This window comes from Homo sapiens, chromosome 2 (genome assembly GCF_000001405.40).
Source record: "Homo sapiens chromosome 2, GRCh38.p14 Primary Assembly".
Taxonomy (NCBI): Eukaryota; Metazoa; Chordata; class Mammalia; order Primates; family Hominidae; genus Homo; species Homo sapiens.
In genome coordinates, this window is record NC_000002.12 from 234,362,441 (window position 1) to 234,375,212 (window position 12,772).

At 43.3% G+C, this 12,772-nt stretch overlaps 4 annotated features.

The window, feature by feature from the left end:
• Nucleotides 308–1,507: an enhancer, noted in NCBI's record as "CDK7 strongly-dependent group 2 enhancer chr2:235271392-235272591 (GRCh37/hg19 assembly coordinates)". NCBI's record gives its function as "activates an origin of replication core promoter dependent on BRD2, BRD4, P300/CBP, MED14 and CDK7 cofactors, with strong dependence on CDK7, by STARR-seq in HCT116 cells {active_cell/tissue: HCT116}" and the evidence as "EXISTENCE:reporter gene assay evidence [ECO:0000049][PMID:35650434]".
• Nucleotides 605–1,335: an enhancer, noted in NCBI's record as "OCT4-NANOG-H3K27ac hESC enhancer chr2:235271689-235272419 (GRCh37/hg19 assembly coordinates)". NCBI's record gives its function as "activates a minimal SCP1, AML or CMV promoter by ChIP-STARR-seq in naive H9 embryonic stem cells {active_cell/tissue: H9 hESC(naive)}" and the evidence as "EXISTENCE:reporter gene assay evidence [ECO:0000049][PMID:30033119]".
• Nucleotides 5,295–5,796: an enhancer, noted in NCBI's record as "H3K27ac hESC enhancer chr2:235276379-235276880 (GRCh37/hg19 assembly coordinates)". NCBI's record gives its function as "activates a minimal SCP1, AML or CMV promoter by ChIP-STARR-seq in naive and primed H9 embryonic stem cells {active_cell/tissue: H9 hESC(naive and primed)}" and the evidence as "EXISTENCE:reporter gene assay evidence [ECO:0000049][PMID:30033119]".
• Nucleotides 5,797–6,296: an enhancer, noted in NCBI's record as "H3K27ac hESC enhancer chr2:235276881-235277380 (GRCh37/hg19 assembly coordinates)". NCBI's record gives its function as "activates a minimal SCP1, AML or CMV promoter by ChIP-STARR-seq in naive H9 embryonic stem cells {active_cell/tissue: H9 hESC(naive)}" and the evidence as "EXISTENCE:reporter gene assay evidence [ECO:0000049][PMID:30033119]".

Consider the following 12,772-nt stretch of genomic DNA (forward strand, 5'->3'; position numbering starts at 1 on the left):
GTTGGACTCTTTTCATCACCAGACCCATTGTCTGTGCTTATGTGAGGAAATGCAAGTAGAAATAACTGAATATAGGCTGGGCACGGTGGCTCACGCCTGTAATCCCAGCACTTTGGGAGGCCAAAGTGGGTGGATCACCTTAGGTCAGTTGTTCGAGACCAGCCTGGCCAGCATAGTGAAACCCCCTCTCTACTAAAAATACAAAAATTAGCCGGGTGTGGTGGCAGGTGCCTGTAATCCCAGCTACTTGGGAGGCTGAGGCAGGAGAATCGCTTGAACCCTGGAGGCGGAGGTTGCAGTGAGCTGAAATCACACCATTGCACTCCAGCCTGGGCGACAGAGCAAGACTCTTTCTCAAAAAAAGAAAAAAGAAAGAAAGGACTGAATATTGACGTAGCCAGAGTTTCTTTTCCTACTCTCTTCCTAAACTCAAAAAAAAAAAAATTGTTTTCCTTGAGAGAAGCTTTAAACAAAAATGATGGCTTTGATCCTTCTGTAAAGAATTGTCTTCTCATCCCAGCACATCACGGCCATTCTGCATCCATCCATTCTGCCCTGGGACTCCCTTCCTTTGGATCCACCAGGTGTAAAAGGCACCAAGCTGCCCTGATCTGGCCCGGCTGGTTTCGTTTATTTGTTTGGTGACAAGGTCCATTTACTGCTCTCCCCCCTGCTGACCATCCTAAATCACACTGCCATTCCAACCTGTGGGATGGGAGACTTCAAAGGGCTGGGTCTGAGCCCTGCTTAACATTTGTGAATGCTGAGTCACTAAGACACTTGAAAGGGAATCTCAGCAGGTCCCTTGAGAAATTGCCATTAATTTTGTAGCCAGAAAAGCTTTAGAAATATTTACTGCCCGTCTTCCCTTTTGCTGAGGTTTTTAGCAAACATTAGAAGCAGCACTAATGAGCTCCACAATCCAGCGTCTGAAAAGCTCTCTGCAGTGAATGTTCAACCCCAGAGGTGGGGCAGCAACTCAGAAAAGATCACCATTGAAAAGAATGAATTTGAGCTCTCACAGAGTTGCATGTGAAAAATGACTTATCAGGAAGCACTTCAGGAAACTTGGACAGGCTTAAACTATGAGATCCTCGGTGTGAAATTGTTTTGTGGACAAACAACATAAGTGACAGAGGTTTTCTGCAACACAAAGAACTATTTTTAAACTCTGCTTAAAACAACAACAACAACAAAAAACACCTGAGGGTGATTTTTCCTTTCGGAAGAAAGATACAGCTCCCCATAATTCCTCAAGTCCCAAGCCCCGAGAAGATACAGCTGAGAAGTCCATCCTGGCTGAGCAGGAACCAGCAACCCAGGGCAAAGCAGAAGAGGTATTAGCAGGGCATCTTGGATGAGGAAGGCTGGATTCCACGGGCTGACAACTGTTCTGTTCTTTGAAGTCTCTATTATTGAAAAGTTGATGCTTGAGCAACTGCAGATCACGACCACACTGAGAGTGCTCTGACATTCGCGATAAGACCTGGCTTTTGAGAAGGTCCACGTTCCTCTCACTTGGTCACTTGGGGTGAACCCAGGAGCAATCCCTGTTTATTTACCTTTGTTATATTTTGATGCAAATTCTTGTCGAACTGTGATAAACATCTAGACTAGAAGAGACCCTGACTGCTTCAGGCAAATAGAACCTGTGTCTCCAAGGACTGTGTCCAAAGAGTAGTAGAATAGCACACTAAGTTTGCAGATGACGGGCACCTCTACGGCCATCAGGGAACAGGCCCCAGGGAGGAAAGCATGCTGAGAGCCATTGATTTTTTTCCCACTGGAGGCTGCTGCCTCCTTGGACCTGGAGGCAATCAGAGTCCCTCTTGTAAAGGGAAGTAAAAACTTAAAGTGGCCAAGCATGGGGGCTCATGCCTGTAATCCCAGCACTTTGGGAGGCCAAGGTGGGTGGATCACCTGAGGTCATGAGTTCGAGACCAACCTGGCCAACATGGTGAAACCCCCGTCTCTACTAAAATAATACAAAAATTAGCCGAGTGTGATGGCAGGCGCCTGTAATCCCAGCTACTCGCAAGGCTGAGGCAGGAGAATCACTTGAACCTGGGAGGCGGAGTTTGCAGTGAGCTGAGATTGGGCCACGGCACTCCAGCCTGGGTGACAAAATGAGACTCTGTCTCAAAAACAAACAACAAAACAACAACAACAACAAAACTTAAAGCATTACAGTCAGAGGCGTTGGAATCAGCAACTCCATCTTGAGTAGGGGCTGGGTAAAATAAGGCTGAGACCAGCTGGGCTGCATTACAGGAGATTAGGCATTCTAAGTCACAGGGTGAGATAGGAGGTCAGCACAAGATGCAGGTCCTAAATACCCTGCTGATAAAACAGGTTGCATTAAAGAAGCTGGCCAAAACCTGCCAAAACCGAGATGACCTCTGGTCGTCCTCATTGCTCATTATACACGAATTGTAATGCATTAGCATGCTAAGAGACACTCCCACGGGCGCCATGACAGTTTAGAAACGTCATGGCAACTTCAGGAAGTTACCCTATAAGGTCTAAAAAGGGGAGGAATCCTCAGTTCCGGGAATTGCCCACCTCTTTCCCGGAAAACTCATAAATAATCCACTCCTTATTTAGCATATAATCAACAAATAACCATAAAAATGGCCAACCAGCCCCTCATGCTGCTACTCTGCCTGTGGAGTAGTCATTATTTTATTCCTTTACTTTCCTAATAAACTTTCTTTCAATGTATGGATTCACCTCAAATTCTTTCTTGCGTGAGATCCAAGAACCCTCCCTTGTGGTCTGGATCGGGATCCCCCTTTCCTGTAACATTACTAAAACTGAACAAGACAAGCATTTATACAGTGTTACTTTGTATTTCATTGCTTTTAATTTATTACATTAACCCCATTTCTATGTGCATCTTTAAATATACAGTTTTGTTTTCTAAGAGGCCTTTATGTTGTTAAATAAGTCCTTTAGAGAACATATAAATTATCCACCAAAACAATTCGTCATAAATTTTTGTTATTGTTGTCTTAGCACGGGACTATGGTACATTTGCCCCTGTATCCATGGGGGATTTGTTTCAGGACCCTCCTCCTCCCCGTCCAGATACCAAAATCCACAGATACTCAAGTCCCTGATATTAAATGATGTCGTATTTGCAAATAACTTGCACACATTCTCCTGTACACTCTAAATCATCTCTAGATTACTTATAACACCTAATACAATGGTAATGCTTTGTAAATAGTGGTTTGCTGTATTGTTTAGGAAATAATGACAAGATAAATTCTGTACATTTTCAGAATGGATGCAACTATTTATTGTTACTTTTTAAATATTTGACCTGCTGTTGGTTAAATCCACAGATGCAGAAGCTACAGATACAAAGAGTCAACCATATTTTACTTATTATTATAAAATATAGAAATGTATGCATCAGAAAAAGAATGTCTCCTAATTTTATTCCTCTGAGTTAACCACCTTTAATAATCAATATATGTCATGCTAAAACCATTTCTATGCATATGAAATATTTTGTCAAAATAATCTAAGCAAGGAACTTTAGAACTGACTTCAGATAAATAAAAATAATATGCACATTTGGAAAAAACAGCACAACAAATTAGATCATGCTACATATTCTCATCTGCAATTTACCTTCTTTTAATGATGACATAGTATTTCACTGAATGGATATTTCATAATTGAGCTAATTAATTCCCAACCGATCTAACTGTGGGTTGTTTCCAATTTTTTTTTTTTTGCTATTAAAAGTAATGAGCTTTCTCAAACCAATACCTTTAGATATTTAGGCTATTAATTCCATAGGATAAATTCTGAGGAGCAGAAATTTTGGACCAAATAATATGGACATCTTTCAATTTCAATCACTTTAAATGTTTGATTTTCCTATTGCCTTTTAATGTGCCACTATCCCAATGTGCACCACCAACTCCCTGATAACTTTTACTTCTCTCTCCTGCCAATGCCTTTTAGTCTTTATCACAGAGGGGGGAAAGTAACTAAATGTTGACATTGATTATCTCCTCAGGTGTCGTTATGTTTCTGTCTTACTGCTTTCTCCATAATTTAATTTCCAACATTTCCACCATGATTATGAATTATTTTAGAGTTTACTAGAATGAAGTTTAAGTGCTAAGGTTACTTTCAGAGGTGAGAGAAATTACTTTTGATTACAGATTAGGAAAGATTTAGTAAAGACTGTAACGCAGGAAAATGCCTGACTCCAAATACACGGTAGAGTTTCTGAACAGGCAGGAAGTATAGAAGAGAACAGCTGAGACCCAGAGAAAGAGGCCATGTTAATAATGATAGGGTGCATAGAGATTTCTGCCCAAGGAAGATTAGTAGGGCTGGGCTTTAGGAACACAAACCTTGCAGGAGTGTGTAGAAGAAACAGGGCTGGGGAGAGATCAGCCCTAAAACAATTTCAGGATTCCAGGCAAGAGGTAACGAAGGCTTAAACTAACATAATATAAGGAGCTAGAGAGAGAGAGGAGACAATTACACCTAAAACTGTGGGGGGAGAAATGTGTGAGCTTTGTGGGGCAACATTTTCCCTACATAAGCAAACAGAGCTGCAGGGTCCCCTTGCAGAAGCAGCTGTACTAGATGGAAGCAGGTTTTTCTAGCTCAGCTATTTGTGAAAAGTAAATCTGAGCTTGGAAGGCCTGGAAGCATTGTGCAATTTCTCATTTGAGAGAGGTCATGCTCAGGCTAGCAAAAAGAGGGTAATTTCAACCACAATGAGTGCCTTTTCCCTCCGGAACATTGGGTTTCTCCAAAACATCAAAAAATGCATGTGTGTTAACAGTTTCATTTCTAGATCAATATTTTTCAAGGAGGAAAAGAAATGACAATTTAGAGAAAAACAAAACAGAAGTTGTTGAAACTCTCACCACTGACCCTCCCATTTAATCACCAGAAATGTGGTACCCAAGAGACGGAGCAGCCCTTAAGTTCTCATTCATTTTTTTTGGGGGGGCTGAATGCATTCCCTGTTCATTTCTCAAAAGAGCCACATGAAATAGCCCCGTGAAGTGCTTCATCAGAGGGGACAGCATTTTTTTTTTATTTTTTATTTTTGAGACAGGGTCTCACTCTGTTGCCCAGGCTGGAGTGCAGTGGCATGATCATGGCTTAATGCAGCCTAAACCTCCCAGGCTTAAGTGATCCTCCCACCTCAGCCTTCTGAGTAGCTGGGACTGCAGGCACACACCACCGTGCATGGCTAATTATTGTACTTTTTGTAGATATGGTGTTTTGTCATATTGCCCAGGCTGGTCTCAAACTCTTGGACTCAAGCCATCTTCCCCCCTCAGCCTCCCAAAGGGCTGGGATTACAGGCATGAGCCACTGCACCTGGCCAGGGACAGCATTTTCAAGGTAAGTCTCTGGAAACAGGACAGCCCCCTAAATCACTGCCTTATAACCACAGAAGTTTATTTCTTGCATGCATTACAGGTTGGCAGAAAGTTGGCTGTGGCTCTGCTCCGTGTATTTCCCACAAGCAGATTCCACTGGGGCAGCTGATTTGCGGGGAGTGATGTCCTCATGTCAAAGGAGAAAGCAAGAAAGCAAAACCAAAACAAACCCCAAAATCTGACAATAGCCCTTAATAGTTCAGCTGGGAACTGGCTCCCTGTATGACTTCTGTTCACATTTCAGTGGCCAAAGCAAGTCACTTTCCCAAGCCCCAAGCCTATTCTCAGCAGGATGGTTCATTGACTCCACCCACAAAAGGTACTGTGGCTGTGCTCATGGTGTACTGCACAGGCACCTTACAGGGGGAGGGGGCCAGTAGCTGAGAACAATAATGCATTCTGTGACCAGCCTTGAGGGGCTGGAAATTGAGGCACCAATGCTTTCCCTCTGCCTATTACACCGCACTTCCTCTCAACACCCTACCCAGATCCTGGCCCGTCTGATTGGATCTCTGATTCCAGAGCTGGGACTGTGGTTCTTACCTCTGGCACTTCCTCTCAACACCCCACCCAGATCCTGGCCCATCTGATTGGACCTCTGATTTCAGAGCTGGGCCTGTGTTTCTCACCCCTGGCACTGCCTTTCAACACCCTACCCAGATCCTGGCCTGTCTGACTGGACCTCTGATTCCAGAACTGGGCCTGTGTTTCTTACCTCTAGCTGGATTTCTATTCCACCTTGCAAAGGACCACTTAGTAGCATCAGCCTTCCAGCCCAAAAACATCACCTCTGGATGTACCTCCAAGACCAGAATGACATGCTGGTACAAAAACACAACCTCAAATCCAGTTCAAGCTTAGCACCATTTTTGGATCCATTAAATTAGATGGTTAACTTTCTACTTTCCAGGACCTATGTTCAAATTAGTGTCTCCTTCTAAGATCCTCACCCTTCCCAGCTTCTTCTAATTCTCTGTTGCCCCACTGCAAGGTGCCAACATGCTTTTCAGCCAGTAGAAGAGGCAGGAAAGATCTTTGTTAGTTAGGGCACCTCTGAGTCACTGCATGAAGGGACCTGTGGCTGGGAGGCCCCACCCTCCCTCCTCCTTGCTGGGCCAGCAGGGGCCAGAGCTCATTTCCAATTCTGCCCTGTTTGTGCTTGTTCTTTTTCCATGTAGTATTATCAAGAGCCCGTTTTTATGAGCTGCAACAGTGAGGTCTGTGCAAATAAACTTTCTGAGTAATAATAACTGTCCTAAATCATTTGCTCAGGAACAAACAGTGCTTTGCAACTGGCACAATCAGCTCCTCACATCTGAGTCAGGTTTGTAGCCTGCTTGAAGTGGATGCATGAGAAGGCTGCAGTGCTTTTAAGGGAACTGGAAGTTTCATTCATTGACTTGACAACCAACAAGTAACCAGAGAGAATAAACCAACCAACCAACAACAACAAATAGGATTACTTGCAACAAGGAAAGCAACTTAGACAACCCCAAATTTAAGAAAACAGAGGAAGAAAGGCGCCCACTCCCTCGTCATCTTGGCTATCATTATTTTTTAATTTTGCTCCAATCCCTTTTCATGTAAAATCTAAGAATCGCTGTTACGTAAACTTTGGTATCCAGCTTTTTCTTTTTTTAAAATTAACATCAATAGATTTTCTTCATCATAGTTGCTTTTTGTGGCTGAATAATTTTTCACATACCAAAAGGATTGTACGCATGTTCCATAATTTACTTAGCCAACTCTCTTACTGCTGAACACTTAGGTGATTTTTACTTTATATTTCTGCCATGATAAACAATACTATTATGAACACATTTATATTTTCAAATTTGTACATAATATGAGCTTGTGATTATTTGATTTTTTGGGTTTTTTTAGGCATTAAAGCTAGAATCACAATAGTAGGGGTAGAGAATGATACTACGTATTTACAAAAAACCTAAGAAAAATGATGCTGATTTTCTTGTATCTTCTGGAATCTGTAGAAAAGGCCACCCCTTTAAGAGCTTATGACCTGCTACCTGCAGCTGACAATGGGTGTGCTATGAGAATGAAAGTTGGATGAACGTGTTGTAAGAAGAAAACACATCTTCCCCTTCTACCCACCTTAGGTTCATTGGCTGGGTCCCCTGTAACCAAATGCAGATTAATAAGAGCAAAGTCAGCCGGGCGTGGTGGCTCATGCCTGTAATCCCTGCACTTTGGGAGGCCAAGGCAGGCGGATCACCTGAGGTCAGGAGTTTGAGACCAGCCTGGCCAACATGGTGAAACCCCGTATCTACTAAAAATACAAAAATGAGCTGGGCATGGTGACTTGTGCCTGTAGTCTCAGCTACTTGGAAAGCTTGAACCCAGGAGGTGGAGTTTGCAGTGAGCCAAGATCGTGCCACTGCATTCCAGGCTAGGTGTCACAGTGAGACTCTGTCTCAAAAAAAAAGCCAACAAATTTATTTAATAAGTTTTACATGACACAGAGCCCTCAAATGACATGAAGACCAGAAGAAACAGTTAAACCTGTGTGTTTTTATGCTGTTTGATAAAAGATGAGAAAGCCATGGAAGGATGTGGTAGGTTAAAGGGGATGAGTAAACTGAGGGAAATTTAGCAAGTCCTGTGTGTTCAATTCCTCTCCGTGCCCCTGTGTCTTCAGAAGAGGGGCACCTCTCACATGAGGGTCTTGTGGCCTGCTTCAGGGGAAGGTCAGAGTGCAGGGGAAGGTCAGAGTGCAGGGGAAGGTCAGAGCGCTCTTCTTGCACTTGCCACACCTCAATATATTTTTTTTTTAAGAGACAGGGTTTCACTCTGTTGCCCAGGCTGGAGTGCAGTGGTGCAATCATGGCTCACTGCAGCCTCGAACTCCTGGGCTCAAGTGATCCTCCTGCCTCAGCCTCCCAAGCAGCTGGGACCACAGGTGCATGCCACTATACCCGGGTCATTTTTTTTTTTAACTTTTGGTTGAGACGAGGTTTTGCTATGTTGCCCAGTCTGGTCTCAAATTCCTGGCCTCAAGGGACCCTCCCACCTCTGCCTCCCAAAGTGCTGGGATTATAGGCGTGAGCCATCTCACCAGGCCTATAGTTCTTTGGCTTAAAATACTCAATGTGCTAACATGCTGTACTTTGAGGTAGTGTGCCTTGAATCCCATCAGTGTCCTTCTTATCTCTCATATGCAGGCTTATTTGTAGAATAAATGGATCCTCCCAAGAAGGGTTCATGGAGAAAATTCCCCCTTGGGTGTCAATATCTGAAAAACATGGCCCTGAAGTGCATATTGTGTTTTATTTTACAAACATTATGAATCCTGTAAACTAGTGGTGTGGATGTCTTGGCTTCAGCTAGCAGAGAGCTGGTGCATTTGTGGCTCACTTCTAGCTAATATTTAGGATCATTTGTTATACATTTTTCTGCTAATCATACCTTTAATTTATTTCCAGTATGCTGCTGCTATTTAAAATTATGTTAAAAAGGAATTCTTGGTAATGTAAAAAAAAAAAAAAAAAAAACCTCAGAACACAGTAGTGTATGCTCTATACAAAATGACATTTTTTAAAAAGACAGAAAAGGGCCAGGTGCAGTGTGTCTCACGCCTATAATCCTAGCACCTTGGGAGGCCGAGGTGGGTGAATCACCTGAGGTCAGGAGTTCAAGATCAGCCTGGCCAACAAGGTGAAACCCTGTCTCTACTAAAAATACAAAAATTAGCCAGGCGTGGTGGTGGGTGCCTATAATTCCAGCTACTTGGGAGGCTGAGGCAGGAGAATTGCTTGAACCCTGGCGGCAGAGATTGCAGTGAGCCAAGATCATGCCACTGCACTCTAGCCTGGGCGACAGAGCAAAACTGTGCCTAAAAAAGAAAAAAAGACAGAAAAGAAATACATCTGGAATTAGAAGTGAGTACTGGGGAGCAGGGGGGATTATGGATTATATTTTTCAAGCTAGCTTTTGTGAAGTTTTTAAAACATGAACATGCATTACTTTTATAAGGCTAATGGGAAAAACCATTAGCTTTGGAAACCAAAAAAAAAAAAAAAGAAAGCAAGTGAAGATCCCTCTGTGCACATGGGGCCGGCACCATTTACCTGTAATGGCATCAGGAACATTAGGAAATTGGAAACGGGAGCATCAGCACTTGCACAATTTAATAATTTGCTGATCACTGCCATGCATTAGACTTTAACTATTTTGTCTACAAAGCATGAGCATGCCTTTATGTAGTTAATGCAGCCACATTAAACATTTATATGATGTCTATTTTCCCAGGGCTTGTTTGTTTTCACTTTTTCATATCGGGAGCTGATGCAGCTGCTCTCTGTCTTCTCAGGTGAGGCTCCTGCAGGTGGAGAGGCAAGAAAGCCTCCTCTGTGGCATGCCCGAAGCTGCAGAGAGCTTCTAGGCAGAAAAGTTTGCCTTTTTTTTTTTTTTTTTCCCTCTTTCTCTCCCCTCTGCCCTCCCAGGGCATTTCCTGGGTGTCACGCTCGTGTTTCATTTTGATTGATGCTAATGGCATTTTCAAACTGCAATTTCCCAGGCTTACTTAAAAACCATACTTGGAGATTGTGATAGCAATGTTTCCAATTAACACAACACTCTTCACCCAAGTTTTCAATACTTGGTTAATTCATGGAAAATGAACTCAAAGGATTTAAGAAACTATTTCTCTCCCAAAACAGTTGTGCATTGGAAACACGATCAAGTTCTGAATCTCTAAGCATATCCTGCATGAAAATTAGCTCCATGAAATTAAGCTTCCTTTTTTATTTTTTTGAGACAGGATCTCACTCTGTCACCCAGGTTGGAGTGCAGTGGTGCAATCATGACTCACTGTAGCCTCAAACTCCTGGCCTCAAGCAGTCCTCTTGCCTCAGCCTCCCAAAATGCTAGAATTACAGGCATGAGCCACCACACTCGGCCATAATCCCTTTCTTATGCCTCCTTCTTAGGGTTGCCAGATAAAATATAGGGCATCCAGTTAAATTTAAATTTCAAGTAAACAACAAATAATTTTTTTTTAGTATAATTGTGTCCCAAATACTGTATCATTTTTCTCCCCTAAATGATGAACCTTCCCCTCTGGTTAGAACTGGCCATGTCCAGAAAGGAAAATTTGATCAGTGCCTTATTGCCATAGTGGTGTAGTTGAGATCGGATTTGGCAGTTTAGACAAAATGGCTCATTTGATGCTTTTCTTCAAGGACAAGGTGATTTTTACTCTGTCAAAAACAAATTAAAAAAAAAAAAGTTGGCCTTTGCCAATTCGATCTTTAAACTTGTTGCCATTTTGTTTTTGATTCATGAGTCATGATGTACCCAGCTATGAAACAGAAAAGGTGCTTTGCCCCGTGGGCAGAAGAGTTGGTTTTTGTAAGGCAGCTTGAGCAGGAACAAGGAAATAGCATAAGACAAACCAGAGGTGGGGTGGCATCAGGTCACCTCAGGCTGCCTTCCTCACAAGGATTGAAGCAGAGGGACTTTCTTACCACATAGCTTACAACTGGATCTCCCTTCTGATTTCTCAAATGTCAGATAAACAACGTCGTTTCAGTTTGGTGACATGGAATTTAAGTATGAGTGACTCCATTTTGGAACAACTCTGTGGGGCTGCTTGGAAGCCCCCGGAGAGAAGCCTGAGCTGCATCTCACCGTGTGTTTCATCCATGGCGTGCTCCCAGCTCTAGCGTGCGTGGAGAGAGGTCATGGAGTGTGGTTGCTTTACTTTCTACAAAAGTTCCGAAAGCAGGAGCCCACTGGGTGAGCTGGGGAAGGAACAGAATGGGAGGGGGAGAGAGGAGGAAGTCACTGCAGCTCGTGATCTCACCCCTAAACCTTCTGTTAGTCAAGTTCCTAGCCCCACAAAACGCTTGGTGTGAGTAGATACCTTATGTAACTGGTGAGGTGCCTGGGCTTTTTTATCATTGTGTCTAAGGGATGGAACAGAGGCAGCTCACACAGACTCAGAAGCATTTAGGACAGAAGAGACCACGAGGAGGAGCCCCCTGGGAACTTGCAGGAATGGTGGAAGACTGACAACGTCCCCCTGACATCTAGGTTACAGTTTTAGAGTAGACGGAGCTGTGCATTTGGCAACTAACTGCCTCTATTCAATTCTTGTATCTACTACTACTAGCTGTGTGATCTTACGCAAATAACTTAACCTCTCTGATCCTCAGATTTCACATCTTTAAAAACAGAATATTAACACCTACATCCAGGGTCTCCTTGAGACTTAAATGAGGCATGGAGGTGATGCACCCGGTAGGTAGTAGGAGTCTCCAATAAGTTAGTTGTCTTTTTCTCTTAATTCCACTATTTCTAGGAGGTGAATACACTAGAAAAAAGTTTGTACAGCTGAATAACTAATCATACACAAACAATGTGGTGAACAATTCTTTTCCTACAACTTTCAGGTTACAGAGGAGGGGCGGGGAAAGATGACGTCACAAGAGCAGGGTTAGTTGCACCAGCAAATGAGGCAGGTTTCCGTACCCCTGCAACCCCCGCCTTGCTGCACACGTGCACACACATACACACACGCACACGCTCAAGAATGGGTCCTCCATCCTCCAATGCCAACTTTTATTATAGTTCAGTCATTTGAAATTACTCGTACCAAGTCTTTTCTCCATTTTTGTGCATAATTGAATAATCCAGCTACTTAACAAAGGCCTTCGTGTATCTTTATTCTTCCTCAAACCCTTCAAAAAAATGTATAACTTTTGCCAAAACTTATCCAGAAGTACCAATGTGCTTGCGATTAGGACTTCTTTCCAGTTGAGCTCACTGCCATATCTAAATCTGTGTTAGCTACAGACTCCACACAGAGAGACCCATGAACGAAAACTCAATCTACACCATGGGCATCAGGGCTGCTTTCAAGGGTTTGATTCAACGACAGTCTTAATCGGAGTGCACAACAGCTGGTGTAAATCCAAGCCTTCGCCTTGGCAAGAGAGGAGCTGCTTTCAGAGCAGGCCTGATGGGTGAGGCTGGAGAGGCAGGCTGCCTTTCTGATAGAGCTCATCAGGGACTTCCCATGAGAGCCGCCCGCAGTGCCTCAATGCTGAGATAGAAAAGATGAGTTTAGTGAGAGCTCAGAGTGGTTGTACATAAGCAAAACTGTGATCTCCCAAGAGAAGGGCAGAGATGGCCATGCAGATGGCTGCAGGCACATGCAGATGCCTGTGGCTTTGTCCTCTCCCCTGGAAATGCAGAAGAGAATGGTTCCCTTGTCCTCTGCTCTCTCTCAACCATCCTGCAGGAACTTATAAGAAACACCTTTGTCATCGCCTAAAGGGAGTGAGGAGTGAACTGTAAATCTCAGGTCTGGTGTAACGAGATGATTT